Source organism: Homo sapiens, chromosome X (assembly GCF_000001405.40).
Source record: "Homo sapiens chromosome X, GRCh38.p14 Primary Assembly".
Lineage (NCBI taxonomy): Eukaryota > Metazoa > Chordata > Mammalia > Primates > Hominidae > Homo > Homo sapiens.
In genome coordinates, this window is record NC_000023.11 from 53,591,808 (window position 1) to 53,608,006 (window position 16,199).

At 38.5% G+C, this 16,199-nt stretch overlaps 1 protein-coding gene across 50 annotated transcripts in view, besides 1 other annotated feature; it reads right to left on the reverse strand.

The window, feature by feature from the left end:
• HUWE1 (HECT, UBA and WWE domain containing E3 ubiquitin protein ligase 1) overlaps positions 1–16,199 on the reverse strand; it is a 154,624-nt gene that overhangs the window by 59,712 nt on the left and 78,713 nt on the right. For all 50 annotated transcript variants that reach the window (NM_001441048.1, NM_001441051.1, XM_047441751.1 and 47 more), the window contains 9 exons: positions 15,716–15,892; positions 12,782–13,027; positions 11,561–11,694; positions 10,757–10,851; positions 8,311–8,502; positions 3,380–3,596; positions 2,692–2,814; positions 1,557–1,794; positions 591–821 (listed from right to left, as the gene is read on the reverse strand). In NM_001441048.1, coding sequence (NP_001427977.1) covers positions 591–821; positions 1,557–1,794; positions 2,692–2,814; positions 3,380–3,596; positions 8,311–8,502; positions 10,757–10,851; positions 11,561–11,694; positions 12,782–13,027; positions 15,716–15,892 — 1,653 coding nt within the window. The remainder of the gene's footprint in view (positions 1–590; positions 822–1,556; positions 1,795–2,691; positions 2,815–3,379; positions 3,597–8,310; positions 8,503–10,756; positions 10,852–11,560; positions 11,695–12,781; positions 13,028–15,715; positions 15,893–16,199) is intronic.
• Positions 471–1,670: an enhancer, noted in NCBI's record as "BRD4-independent group 4 enhancer chrX:53619238-53620437 (GRCh37/hg19 assembly coordinates)". NCBI's record gives its function as "activates an origin of replication core promoter dependent on BRD2, P300/CBP, MED14 and CDK7 cofactors, and independent of BRD4, by STARR-seq in HCT116 cells {active_cell/tissue: HCT116}" and the evidence as "EXISTENCE:reporter gene assay evidence [ECO:0000049][PMID:35650434]".

Here is a 16,199-nt window from a genome sequence, read left to right on the forward strand (position 1 = left end):
TACTTTAATGATAAAAAACGGGACAAGTGTATATAGTAGACAGATTTGAACAGGACTCCAGACATAAAAGCTGACACACATACATACAAACTCCAGGAAGAAAATCTTAAAATGCTCTTTGAGATGGAAGTGGCAGGACTTTACATGCCTTTCCCCTCTCCTCTTTCTGGCCTCCCAATTTTTAAAATGCCCCTTATACATTTTATTTGCAAGTGAAAACAAAAGTTTTGTAGGTGACTAAGGTTTCAGAAAGCTCTTGTTGGAGAATAAATCTGGTTCACAATATCCATTCTCTTTACAGGTTAACCAGAAAGTAACTGAGGACAGTTTGCCTCCACTGAGGCAGCAGGAGGCTACTGAGAATACTCATCAACATGCTTGAAAGGAGTATTACCTGTGCAGAGCATCAGGACTATACTCCAGTTTTCCTCAGGAGAAAAAAAATAAATACTAAGAGAAGGAGGAAATCTAAACTGTCTCCTGGTTAATGTGACCAGGGACTCAGTGGTATGTGAGCTTAGAAAATCCGTAAGCATCACACTCCATTGGGTGCAAAGTCTGGACCCTGGAGTGTGAGGCCAGTACCCTACCTGTTGCAGTTGTTGCTGGTTGACTTGAGGTTCCCGGCGGGAGCCACCTTCCTCTTGCCCTGTATCCTCTTCTCCTCGAGACCCCTCCTTCTCCTTGCTTAGTCTCTCTCGAATCACAGGTTCTCCTCGGAGGATGTGGCATAGAATGGCCAGCATCGATTCAGCCATTCGTCCACCATATACCTTCAGGGGTTTCCGGTTCCATAAGTTTTTGATGCAAGTAAAGGCTGCCTGTAAGTAATTTGAAAAGTGTGTGAAAATCATTTTGCTTCAATTCAAAGCTCAGAAGGATTAAGTTAAAGACCTATGGAACAGTCCTTCCACAACTAGTACCAGCAACAAAATAATTGGCCAACATGAGGAGGTCTAAGGAGGCACAGAGAAGAGGCATTTTACTCAACCTTAAGCAGTGATACAGTTTGGAATATTTGCTCTGCCCAAATCTCATGCTGAATTGTAATCCCCAATGCTGGAGGTGTTTGGGTCATGGGGGTGGATCCCTCATTGTTTAGTGTTGTCTTCATGATAGTGAGTTAGTGTGTACCACCCCCTCCACCTCCTGGCTCCTGCCATGTGACATGCAAGCTCCCACTTAACCTTCCGCCATGACTGTGAACTTCCTGAGGCCTCCCTAGAAGCCCAGCAGATGCTAGCACCATGCTTCCAAAGCTTGCAGAACTGTGGGCCACTTAAATATCTTTTCTTTATAAATTACCCAGTCTCAGGTATTTCTTTATAGCAATGCAAGAACGGCCTAATGCAAGTACCAATCTGAAATTTACAGCTCAAATGTTTATCACGGAAAATTCTCAAATGGTCTATATTCCCTTACGTAAGGCAGCCCTATCTGGGAGTTGGATCCAGTGGTTCTTAAATAAGCATGTTATTTCATTAAGCAGGACAAAATAGAGTGGGAACGACTTAGCATGAGAAATTCCTTTTGATTTTAGAATACTGAATACTCACTTTCTGAGTTACCACAAGGAAGCGCAGTGCACTGAACTGGGGAAAGTTCTGGACACCTCCAGGCAATTTGGCAGGCAGCGAATGTGGAGATTCAAGCACCGTGGTGGGATTCACCATCTTCTCCACCAGCATAAGCCAGGCATCTAGGAATTCTCCTGTGCCATCAGGCAAGTCTGAGTGTTCCAATCCCTCAGAAACAGGAACTTTACCTCCCATGGACAGAGCCCAGTTGAAAGTTCTAAATTCAAATAAGGAAAAGTAGACAGAATATTAGTATTTTACCCTGGCAAGGGGGGTTTACATCTAAAAGGTCCCCAATCTCTATATTGGCCCTACACGTCCCTCTTCTTAGAGCTATTACGTCTAATCTGTCCAACAGTTTTCAGCTATACTATTTTTTTCTTTTGTTCCGCCTCTCCTCCGTTACTTTTTAGAGTCTTAAAAACCTAAACCAGCTGGGCGCGGTGGCTCACGCCTGTAATCCCAGCACTTTGGGAGGCTGAGGCGGGTGGATCACGAAGTCAGGAGATCGAGACCATCCTGGCTAACACAGTGAAACCTCGTCTCTACTAAATATACAAAAATTAGCTGGACGTGGTGGCGGGCGCCTGTAGTCCCAGCTACTCGGGAGGCTGAGACAGGAGAATGGCATGAACCCGGGAGGCGGACCTTGCAGTGAGTTGAGTTTGCGCCACTGCACTCCAGCCTGGGCGACAGAGCCAGACTCCATCTCAAAAAAAACAAAAAACAAAACAAAACAAAAAAAACACAAAAAAACCTAAACCAGTGAAACTCATCTTGAAATCATCTGACCAAGAATAGCAGAAAAATTATATTCAGAGAAACAACAGAAAAAGACAAACCTATTTTAAAAACCCATACTTGGAACTGGAAGCCACATGAGAAAAAGCAGAGACCCTTACAAACACAACTCTAGGGGAGGCTAAATCCTACCCTCCAAGGTAAATGGAGACAAACATGGTTACTTCCCAGAACACTGAAGGATACAACCAATAGCTATTTCTATATATCCCACTGTTACAAGATAGGGTACTTAAAAGCAGTGGGCTGGGAAGGCACACAGCAAAGATCAAACTCCAAGAAATGCTCCTCTGTGAAGCAACTTGATCCTTACTCAAAAAGAGCATTGTGGCCTCCGGAGCAGAGAAATTTTTGCAGCATGAGGTGGTAGGGATACTTCCTCTCATCAAACAGCATTGGGGATGTGAAACCAACTGAACAGATGAAGAATGTCAGCCTGAAAGTGGAAAAAAAGGCAAAACTTTAACCTTCTGTAAAGCAGAGACAGAAGCAATAGGAAATTCATGTAAAAGGCAAGAGTAAAATTTACACACTGAAGTGACACCTCCCACCTACTAAAGAATACAGGATGAGTATCCCTATCAGAAAATTCAAAATGTTCCAAAATCTGAAACTTCTGATTGCTGACGTGACGCTCAAAGTACATGTTCATGGGAGCATTTCAGATTAGAGATGCTCAACTGATAAGTATTCCGCAAATATTCCAAAACCCAAAAAATTCCAAAATTCAAAACACTTTCTGGCCCCAAGCATTTTGGATAAGGGATACTACCTATATAAGACCACTGAAATGCAGTTTGACTGTAAATACTTAAAATATTACCCATGTTCTGTACTAGGTACAACCAAAACAAGTAACTTACACTTCATTTTCTAGAGTAAACAAGGGACCTCCAAATTCTCAAATTCAGTGGCTCACACTCCATTTTAAGTAGTATAGGAACAACTTACATATTTTTTATTGTAACTTTCTAGTCCCTGAATCTCAAGCTGAACTTCACCTGAATCGGGGAGTAGGTGTATATGGTGGGGGCTGCCAAGATAACCCCTTAGTCAAGAGCTTAGTGAGAGCTGAGGCTGTTGATCGCGCGGCAGGTGTCGGTGCTGTAGTGGTGCTGGCAGCATGATGGCTCCTTCTCTGGCGGACAGGAGATCCCACACAAAGTTTAACAAGAAGTCCAAATAGCTCAGCAAGTGCTCGGCCTAATCTGGAGGAAGCTGAAACCCAGAAATCAGAATAAGACTGTACAGTATTCTCAGAATGGTTTAATTACAACAGACATATTACCATTAACATATTTTTATGACTCACCACTTCCTCCTACAACCCCTAGTTAACACTTGGATTTGTTCTACATTCAATAATCCAAAAAGGAAGTCCCACAAGGAACAAATGCCACTTTTGACGGTAGGAGACAGATATGTGGCACTCAACAGATACCAAATGTAAAAGACAAATAAGCACTCATACTGCTAGAGGAACATAAATTGAAACCATATTTAAGTTAAATGATATCTAGTGGATGATAAAGTCACTTAAAATGCCTACAGAAAACTTTTAAAATGCCAAAAATGATTAGCCACTTAGATAAGAAAAGATCACTGACAATATACATAGTCTGATCACAACAAAAAATATGTAGTCCCAGAGGAAAAAATAAACTAGGAAAAGCAGGAAAATTTTTACAAGTAGCTTCTTAAGGAATTGGGCAGATTATGGACATCTCAAATTTTCCATTTCATAGGATGCTTTTCAATATATAATTCAACAAGGAAAAGGCAGCATACAAATATAAACATATGTAAAAGAAAACACAAAAAACTGAGTGCTTTCCAGCTTCTCTTTAAATATTTCATGTGTTTTTATATTTCTACAATGAAATATACTTTTAAAATCATAAATGAAAATGTTGCCATAGCATTTTAAAAATAAACGTTATTTCACGTTTTTTCATGAAACGTTATTTCATGATCCAGAGACAAGAAGGGCTAGGTCTGAATCAAAGTACAGCTGACGCTTGATCAACACAGGTTTTCAACTATAGATGCCTACTTATGTGTGAATTTTTTTTCAATAGATATACTGAAAATTTTGGAGATTGGTGACAATTTGAAAAAACTCTCAGATGAAACATGTAGCCTCAAAATATTGAAAAATTAACAAAAAGTTAGGTATGTCATAAACGCATAAAATATATGTAGATACTAGTCTATTTTATCATTTACTACCATAAAATATACACAAATTATAAAAATTTAATATTTATCACACTTATGCACATACACTTATACACGGTGCCATTTGCAGTAAATAAGCAGTATTGAGTAACTGGATAAAATTTAGTACATATTATACTCTGTAATAATTTTGTAGCCACGACCTGCTGATACTGTGGTGAGCTCAAGTGTTGCCACAATCTGCTTAAAACACTGTGTGAGGCTAAGCACTTCTACATGAACAGTTCATCTCTCCAGTAAATTGTGTAGTGATCTCTCATGGTTCTCGCATTGTTTTTCATGTTTACCGCAATACTGAAAACCTGGAATAAACCTGGGTCACTCTATGACCCCATATGAAGTGTCACTAGTGACGTTGGAAGTGCTCCCAAGAAGCAGGGAAAAGTCATGACACTTCAAGAAAAAGTTGAATTATTTGATATGGATTGCAGATTGCCCACCACTTCAGGAAAAATGAATTCAGTGTAAAGACCATTGTAAAACAAACAAAAGGAAATTAGTGAAGCTGTTGCTGCAGCTACACCAGCAGGCTTGAAAACCTTGCACTTTTGTGAAATCTTTTTATTTCATATTGAAAATGCACGTTTATGTGGGTACAGGATTGCCATAATAAAGACAAATCTATAGATTCTAATGCAATTCAAGAAAATAATGAACTCACTATATGAAAACTTAAAGCAAAAGGAAAGTGAAGGATCTAAAGCTGGAGAATGTAAAGCCAGTAAAGGATAATTTGATAATTTTAGAAAGAGATTTGGCTTAAAGAATGTCAAGATAATAGGAGAAGCAGCTTCTGACAACCAACCAACAGGCAACAGATAAGTTCCCAGACACCACTAAGAACATCATTGAGAAAGGGTATCTGCCTGAAAGGGTTTTTCATACAGACAAAAGTGCCCTACTTTGAAGGAAAAAAAAAAAAAGGCCACAAAGGACGTTTATTAGTAAGGAATAGAAGTGAGCAGAAGGATTTAAGGCAGGAAGGGACAGACTCACTCCTCTATTTTGTGCAAATGCTACTGGGTTTATAATCAGGACTGCCCTTACCTATATAGCTCCTAACTTCCGAGCCTTGAAGGAGAAAGATAAACTACCAGCTGCTGGTCTTTTGGTTGTACAAGAAGGCCTGGGCAACAAGACCCCTTTTCTGGATTGGTTCCATTGATGTTTTGTCTCTGAAGTCAGAAGTACCTTGCTAGTAAGGGAGTGCCTTTTAAAGTTCTTTTGACATTAGACAATGCCTCTGGTGACCCAGAGCCCCATGAATTCAACACAAAAGGCACTGAAGTGGTCTACTTGCCCCCCAAAACCACATCTCTAATTCAGCCTCTAGATCAGAGAGTCATAAGGGGCTTTAAGGCTATTACACACAGTACTCTAAGGAAAGGATTGTTAATGCTGTGGAAGAGAACCCTGACAGAGGGAACATCACGAAAGTCTGGAAGGATTACACCACTGAAGATGCCATCATTGTCACAGAAAAAGCCATCAAGCCTGAAATAAATTCCTGTTGGAGAAAACTGTCCTGATATTGTGCAGAACTTAACAGGATTTATGACAGCGCCAATCAAGGAAATCACGAGTTTGTGGATATAGCAAAAAAAAGGTCATGGGTGAAGAATTTCAGGATATGAATCTCAGTGAAATTCAAGAGCTAATAAACACCACACCAGAGCAAGTAACAGAAGACGTCTTGATAGAGATGAGTGCTTCTGAACCGATACCAGATGATGAGGAAGAAGATGTAGAAGCAGTGCCAGGAACCAAAGTGACATAAGACAATCTGGCAGAGGGTTCTGATTACTAAAGAATACTTTTGACTTTTTATGATGTGGACCTTACTATGATATGGGCACCGAAACTAAAGCAAACGGTGGAAGAAAAATTGGTATTGTACAGACACATTTTTAGAGAAATGAAAAAGCAACCAAGTCAGAAAGAAAGTACTGTGTATTTCCACAAAGTTACACCATGCATACCTGCCTTTCCTTCTACCTCCTTGACCTGTTCTGCCTCTGCTATCTCAGAGACAGCAAGACCAACATCCCCCCACTTCCTTCCTCCTCCTCAGCTACTCAATGTGAAGACCACCCAGATGAAGACCTCTATGATGATCCTCTTAATGAATAGTAAATATATTTTTCTCTGAAGATTTTAACATTTTCCTTTATCTAGCTTACTTTAAGAATACAGGATATAATACATATACAAAACGTGTGTCCATCGACTGTTTATGTTACTGGTAAGGCTTCTGGTCAATAGATAGCTATTAGTAGTTAAGTTTTTGGGGAGTCAAACGTTATACATGGATTTCTGACTGTGTGGAGGAGTTGCCTCAACCCCCATGTTGCTCAAGGGTTAAATCTATGTCTTTTCAGGATATACATGCACATATAAACTCAGTGTGTAAAAATAGGCTCTACTTGAGCCTAGGTTACATATCCTGCTAAAATTTAGTAATAAGCTCAAATGTATACAGTATAGGAACAAGGAAAACAGTCCTTTCTTCTTCCTATTACATCCAAATTAAGATTTCTTTATCCTAATTAGGGAATAGTCTACAGATATGGGTATACCCAGACTTTGAAAACCTAATGAATCCAATCATTGGGTTTACACTTTCTCACCACTGCTTTCAGGTGAACAGATAGCAAAGTGCTTAAAGGTAGTCCAAAGACAAGAGGATGGCAAAAGGCCAGTAACCAAAGAGAAACAGTATATGGACTGGGTTCACACAGAAACCTCTGAATGCTCCAAGATCAAAGAAATATGACAAAGCAAGGAGAGAGAAATATGAACATCTTCTTGCTTGGTCAATTTTCCTTTGAAGGTAATGTTGGTAGACTTTCAAATTAAAATAAATGGAGAATTAAACTAATTAAAAGTAAAATGTAAAATGCAATGGGAATTTGAGGTAACAAATGGAAACACCAAAGGCCATTTTCTGTTTGCTTTTACGAAGGGCCCCAGATTCCTCTAAGTTAGGTCTCCATTTTCCTCTATATTAAGGTGCCAGAAAGTGACGACAATTTACGAACACACAAATAGGTTCCCAAACATTGGTATTACATTAAAGGGGAAAAAAAAGGGCAAACAGACCAGTGCAAATCATTAATGCAGTTTTGTATGCTGCCAATACAGTCTCAATAAAGCTGCCAAAGTGACTTTAATATAAAACACCTATCAGACTATGTCTCTTGCCAGTTATGTTCAAGGAACACAAAAAGAGAAGACTAGGTGGAAGAGCCAGATAGTTATCCGAGAATCAAGATAGCTTAATAACACAAGCACCAAAGGAAGAATATTTCTAGATGGAGATGGTGGGTCAACTACCATGCTGCAGACAAGTGAGAAGGGACTTAGGACAAGGACGTTGTAGATGCCTTGCTGAGACATCTCAGTGAAATGGAAGGAGCAGCAACAATATGCAATAGTTGAAGAGTAAGTAGGAGGAAGAAATTAAAGAAGGGAGGGTAGTAGATATGGCTCTCAGGAAGGGATTCTGTCATGTCTGTATCCGTAGCAGCTAGTACAAAGCCTGTCACATAGCAGCCACTCAACAAAGGACACTTAAAAATGAGTCACAGAAGTTTTAAACTTCCTTAGGTGAAACAACATAGCCTTTCCAACTCAATCTGTTTCAAGACTAAGGGACTGAAAGCCAGAAAAGGTAGGAGAAAGGAGAATGACTCACCTGATAACAAAGGCTTGATTTGCTTAATTCTGGCAGCCATTGCTGGTGTGATTTTAGATTTGCCCTTAGAGTCTGAAGCAGTAGGTTCATCTGTCTCCATGGGAGCCAATGTGTCACCATCTAGCCCAATGCCTTCTAATAAGCCCTGGGTAGAAGCATCCATACTTCCAGCTGCTCCATCCTGTTCCCCATCTACAGATGTATAAGAGGGGAGCAATAGGACAATGTAGAGCCAACATTTACCTGGTTCCTTGAGAAGTACTGACAAGATTACCTATGGTTTTTGTTACTCTTTCAATTCCCATGGCTTCCTAAATTTGAAAAACAAAAACACGACCCAAATATTTTACTGATATGCTCCTCTGGAGTTCTAAGTACCTAATGCTGACATCTTCAAATGACAGCATATGAATAGTATTAACCCAGGGCTACCTTGGAAGACTGTTGTAGGCACAGCCCAACCCAGGGGGTACCATTCACATGGACTACAGTGTGCACAGTACCCAATGCTGTCAATGTGGATGCCCTACTAGAATGTTATAGCTTGTTAAGTTCAAACTAGACATCACAGATTACCACTGGACAATTTTATTTCCTAGCATTTAAGAATTATGTATATGAATGTGACATGTGTCTTTTTCTTTGGTATATGCTTGCTCTTAGATCTAAGAATGAGCTTTATGCAAACTTATAAAACAAGTCACCAAGTTGTTCTCTTAACATTCCAGAAAAACTGTGGAGAAGCTGAGTCGTTTTTGTTAAATGTGTTAAATTGCTAGAAAAAATATATCTGTTAGAGAGGCAATTCTTTGACAGTGAATCTAATTTCATTCTCAGTTCTTAGTCAATTTATTCTTTCCCTGAGTTAAATTTAGTATGTTTTGACTAAATTTGAAATTCTCATTTTGTCAGGTTTCTTTATAGTTTATTAATGTTATCCCATCCCTCACAATAACCAGCTGTCATATGTAAGTCCTTGTTTGTTGGTTCTAAGCCTATGTCAGCTTTATTAGTTCCTTAGAAATTTCCCTTTCTAGTAATTTCTGTACAAGTTTTAAGCCTGATACCTTTTTTTTTTTTTGGAGACAGGGTCTCGCTCTGTCATCTAGGCTTGAGTGCAGGGGTATACTCATGGCTCACCATAGCCTCAACTTCCTGGGCTCAAGCGATCCTCCCACCTCAGCCTCCCTAGTAGCTGGGACTACAGGCATGTACCACCATGGCCGGCTAATTTTTGTATTTTTTTTGTAGAGATAGAGTTTCGTCATGTTGCCCAAGCGGGTCTCGAACTCCTGGGCTCAAACGATTCACCTGCCTCAGCCTCCCAAAGTGTTGGGATTAGAGACGTGAGCCACTGTGCCTGGCCTGATGCATTTTTATACACAGAATTATCTTCATTGCTTTCTTAATAGTTTATCCTTTTTTATTTCCTCATTGATACTGAACACCAGAGAAAAAACATTCTGGAAAAGTTGCTTGTATTCATTTTAGGTTTGTAGCATTAGAGTCAGAAAATTGTGTATGATTTCTACTTACTGAAATTTGGAATTTTTTTTTTTTTTTTTCCTGAGGCGGTGTTTCGCTCTTGTTGCCCAGGCTGGAGTGCAATGGCGCGATTTCGGCTCACTGCAACCTCCACCTCCCAGGTTCAAGCGATTCTCCTGCCTCAGCCTCCCGAGTAGCTGGGATTATAGGTATGTGCCACCACGCCCGGCTAATTTTTTGTGTTTTCAGTAGAGACAGGGTTTCTCCATGTTCGTCAGGCTGGTCTGAACTCCTGACCTCAGGTGATCCACCCGCCTCAGCCTCCCAAAGTGCTAGGATTACAGGCGTGAGCCACCGAGCCCGGCCAAAATTTGGAATTTTTATCATGAGATAATATAAAAGCAATCTTCTTTATAAAACAGCACTGTCGATAGAAATATAACATGAAACACATATATAATTTAAATTTTCTAGTAGCCACATTAAAAAGTATTTGTTAATACCCTCTGATACAGTAATTTCTAGGAATCAATTTTACATTTGTAGAAAAGTAGATACAAAAATGTTCATTTTTTAAAAATAGCATATTAGAAACTTAACAGGGAATAGTTAATTCGTGTACCTTTATATGGTACCTAACATTAAGTGAAGAAAGAGATCTACGAAATGTTTTTATCTAAGACACTGGCAAATGTATTCAGAGAAAAAAGACGGGCAGACACTTCCAAAATGTTTTTTTTTTTTTTTGGTGGCAGAAATACGGGTAATTCTTTCAACTACATTTTCTAAATTTTACCATTATGTATATATGTTTTTATGGAAGAAATGACTAAAAATTAGTGAGAGGATGAAAACTAGACTATGGATGATAGAACTAACTAAAAATTTTCATAATAAACCTATAAAGACGTAGGAACAAAACTTAGAAGTAATGACTAACATTTTAGTTTCTTAGAGTTACCTGATCTTTTTCCGCCCTGGGTCGTACCTGCCTTCTCATCCTTTGGAACCAGTTTCTGCATATCTGCCTGGCCAAATTCACACCCAGATGGTAGGCTGCAAAAAGAGAAATGCTGAGCAAAAGAAATATATATATATATATACTGATAATTCACCTCTTATATTGTAAATGGTCTCTAATTTGCTTGGCTGACACTATCCCTCCTATAGCAGGCAGGTTAAACTGAATGTAATAAAGCATCTATAATTCCTGAGGTAGCACCCCACAAGCTTTCCAATTCTTTTTTTTTTCTTTTTTTTTTTTTGGAGACCCAGTCTCACTCTTTCGCCTGGGCTGGAGTGCAGTGGCATGATCTTGGGCTCACTGCAACCTCCACCTCCGGGGTTCAAGCAATTCTCCTGCCTCAGCCTCCCAAATAGCTGGGATTACAGGCGCCCGCCATTACGCCCAGCTAATTTTTTGTATTTTTAGTAGAGATGGGGTTTCACCATGTTGGCCAGGCTGGTCTCGAACACCTGACCTCTTGATTTGCCTACCTTGGCCTCCCAAAGTGCTGAGATTACAGGCGTGAGCCACCGTGTCCAGCCACAACTCAATTTTTTGTATCTGGCTAATAACAGGAACACATTTTAAACATCTACCATGACGACAAAGCATTTGTCATCAAGTTCCTAGGCTGGGAAGAGGGAAGGACAAGGAGGCCTCTGAACTCTCTTCCATACCCTCCTATCCCCAACCAAAGCAATCCTCCAGGCTCACCGAACTTAGATAACAAAGTAATAAGAGAGAGAGCCATTCTCTTACCTGTTTGGGGTACACAGAGAGAGGAGGACAGTGCTTTCCCACACCAGGGAACAGTATAACTGGCTCAGCTTGCTCAAAACACTCAGACCCAATTGAGAGCCCCACTGGTTTACGGAGATGGAACGAATTTCACTCTGCAATCATAACAAGAATTTCACCTTTGGGATGTTCTCTGAACAATTATACTTAAAAAAAAAAATTGACCTTCAACAGTTTTATAAGGGTAAGGGATTTTTCTTCATTGCTATTCTCAGAGTTATCCACCTCATCAAAATGTCCACACTCAAGACGACAGTTCCACAAGGTATCCTCTTACAATATTTACAAACTATTTCCACAACATCCGTTCTCATTGTTTTTTATAAAGTGAAAGAAAGGCATCAGAGGCTACTCTTTTTTTCTGAATCAAAGAAATGGTTTTACAGGTTCATTAACTACTTTCTAAATTATTTGGTAGGGGTATTATTATTTCCATTCAATTTCTTTACTTCAGTAAGTACCTAGATTTATTTAATTCCTTGAATGTTTCATTTTCATTTTATTTCATTTAATAAAGAAGTCATAAAAATCAATCCCTAAGCTTTGTTAAGTAATTTAATTTTCTAAATCCTTTATACTTGTGCTTTTTTAAACTTCAGATTTGATTGATTCACAATTAACAGAGAACACACTCCTGCTCAATAGCATAAAACAGGGCTGTTGAACCCTGTTTTGTTTAATGTTGATACCATAAATCTTTAGAATCAATTATCTGAGGAATAAATGTAGTAAAACTGTGAGGACATACACAAAATGCCTTCTTTCTGGAACTATGGATTATGGATTACAGGTCAAACGTTTGATATGTAGAAAATTTTTAGTAATTTGTTAATTACTATTGATTTAAATGTTCTTTGGTAAAATGTCCTACCTATGCCATCCCATTATCAGACCTATAAGGACTGGTGGAAAGATTAGAAAGTACTAAGGCCAGATGAATACCCAATTGATGTTTGTCTGTAATAACATGTTTCGCTCTCAAGAAAGTCCACTTCATCACATAATAAGTTATATAGTCACTCAACTTTTTGACAGTCAAAAAAATCTCATCCTAAATTGGACTGTTCTTTTAGCTGCTACCTCAGGCAGACCTCCTTTCAAGCATAGTAACCCTGCTAGGTGTATGCCCTAGATATTTCACTGCCTTTAAATTAATATGTTCACCCCTAAGGTTATTTTTACCTGTCCAACTCTGCAAGTATGAACAAACATCATGATGTAGGCATGGGCAGCAGTGAGTGCATGCAGCAGAGGTGTGGCCTGGGCTGAGAGGGTAGCATCAGCAACATTGCCTGCGCAAGCCAGTTCTCGCAACAACACTGAGCCCCCAGGGGATTCAATGGGGCGGTGTAAGGGCTCCAGGGAGGAGAGGATGGAGTCCAACTGAAGGAGACCCTCTTGAAGGACTTTGGGTTCATGTGACAGTGTCTGAAACAGGAAGAATAATTAAAGTGTTAATATACAATGAACTTCAAATTCATCATGTCTTTTAATAGTCACAATGGAAGTGACAATTAAATGGAAGCCTCTCAGATTTTGGATATGGCCATGGTCTCTCACCTGGTAAATGGTGGAACCCAAATATGAAGTCAGGTACAACATACCTTAACATCTCTTTCTAGAGCAACACACTACTTTCAAACTTGGTGAGCCAATAACACTTAAAAGCTTATGATGGTCAAACTGAATACTGTTACGGCAAGGATTCTACACTATAGGATTAATTCCAAATTTTGCTCGATAGGAAACAATGTTAGGCAAAGTTCCAAAGCATGGAAGTGAGTCACTATTACACTGTTCTTTTCTTCTTAAAACAAAAGCGATTATTCTGAGATAGGAATCAGGTAGGCAATTTGTTTTTATCAGACAACCCAAGGATTATACGACCCTTGTGATTTCCTCTCAAGTCTGGAGAAAAATCTGACAATAAAACACCATCACTTGCCATGCAAAGATAGGAGAAATCATGTGCCTTCCTATGGCTTTAAATAAATCTATCTATCCTTCCACAGCATCTTATAGGATATTTTCCCCTCTCTGTGATGAAGAGCATTTAATTCAATATTTCAAAGAGTAAAACAAAATAAACTAAATGAAGTCACGTCACAATTATGGATCTTTCCAAGTCTGTAAGCAAATGGATTTCTCATTCAGCAGGAATTACTTATCACTCTGCAGCCCAGCTAACAAAGGAGTTTCACAGATTTAATGCAATCACTATCAAAATTCCAATGCTGTTTTTTGTTTTGGTTTTGCAGAAATAGAAAAATCCCTTCTAAAATTTATATGAAATCTTAAGGGACCCCAAATAGCCAAAACAAGTTGGGGAAAAATTTTTGGAGGTCTCACTCTTTTTGATTTCTATTACAAAGTTACAGTGATCAAAACTGTGATACTGGCATAAAGACAGACGTAAAGACCAATGGAATAGAATAGAGAGCCCAGAATTAAATCTTCACATATATATGGTCAAATGATTTTTGACAAAGGTACCAAGACCATGCAATAGGAAAGGACAGACTTTTACCATATAAAAAATCTAATCAAAATGGATTAAAGACCTGAATATAAGAGCTAAGTTATAAAACTCCTAGAAGAAGCCACAGTGGGAAAGCTGCAAAACATCGGATTTGGCAATGGTTTTGTGGACACGACACCAAAAACACAGGTGTTTACACAGGCAACAAAAACAAAAAAAGAGAAGCTGAACTTTATCAAGATTAAAAATGTTTGTGAATCCAAAGACAACCAAGAAAAGGCAACTCACAGAACAGGAAAAATATATGCAAATCATATACCTGAGAAGAAATTAGTATCAGGTATTAATACGTGTACAAGAATACACAACTCTTACAACTCAACAAAACAAATAACACGATTAAAAAAGAACAATGAATTTGAATAGACATTTCTACAAAGAAGATATATACATGGATAACAAGCACATGAAAAGATGTTCATTATCACTATGCATTAGGGAAATGCCAGTGAAAAACAAAATGAGATACACTTCCTACCCACCAGAATGGCTATTATCAAAAAACAGAAAATAAGTATTGGCTAGGATGTGGGAAAATTAGAATTAAAAGTAGAGTCTCAAAGAGTTACATGTACATCCATGTTCACAGCATCATTATTATTCACAACAGCCAAAAGGAGAAAGCAACCCAAGTGTCAATCAACAGATGAATGGATAAACAAAATGTGGTATATACACACAATGGAATATTATTAGGCCTTACAAGGGAAGGAAATTATGACACATGCTACATAATGGTTGAACCTTGAGGGCATTATGCTAAGTGAAAAAAGCCGGTCGCACATACAAAATATTTTATGATCCCACTTATATAAGGTACCTAGAGTAGTCAAATTTAGAGACAAAAAATAGAATGGTAGTTGCCAAGGTCTGGGGAGAGGGGAGGATGAGAAGTTCAATGGCAGAATTTCATTTTTGCAAGATGAAAAGAGTTCTGGAGATTGGCTGCACATCAATATGAATACACATAACACTACTGAACTCTACACTTCAAAATGGTTAAGATGATACATTTCATGTTATGTGTAGTTTACCACTATGAAAAAATAAAGAAGCTTCATTTTTGGCAAAATATGAGCAATGAACTACCATGTCAATTATGCTTAAAATACATGACTATCGGGCTTGAAAAGGGGGGAATTAAGTATCGGCAATGAACTACATGTCAATTATGCTTAAAATACATGACTACCAAGCTTGAAAGGGGAGGAAAATACATGGTTAAACATAACCATAAACATAAAATGTGTTTAAAATGCACCTATAACAAAGAAGGGAGAGGTACTAATAAAACCCAACTAGAAAAGCTTTCTTGGAGATACACTTTTCCCTCCAATAAACTCTAATGATGTAGAACTACATACCCAACCGATGAACAAAGAAAAAATACTTTGACTTTTCAATGAGAAATAACATGGCACACTATATATTAGTCACAAAATTCACTTATACAACATAACACAAATTTATTCATTATTTTTTAGTTGAAGGGAGACCATAGTAAAAACATATATACAGAAGTATCGCAAAATTGATTTCCAGAAAGAAATGAAAACATTTGGCCAGATGCTTCTTACCAATATGGATTTGCAGACACCTGCAACAGCCTGACAGGCAGCAGATGTGGGAAAGTCAATGGGCAGATTGGGAAGACCCAAAATGGTAACCAAAGGCAACAGTCCTTTCTGATTCACAAATTCCTGGCAGTGGTCATCTGTTGTATTGTTGCTCAGAATAGATTCCACAAATTTCATCTAGGTAATAAAAATTTTTTAAAGAAGTTAGAGCCTGACAGGTGGAACTAAATGGCCAGCCTGGAATAAGGATGGGGTAGCCTTCTAGTCATGATATTAGTGTTTTCTATAGAGTATCAAAACCTCAGATAAACCAGATGTATGATACGGATTCTAAAACATCCAGGAAGTAAAGAATATCTACAATTTCTGCCCAATCTCCATTTTCAAGCACACCAAGAATCAGATATTTCGAGATAACAGAGAAGTTAAGTGACTTGCTCAGGGCCACATTATGAATTAGTGGTACAATCATGTTTAATCTCTT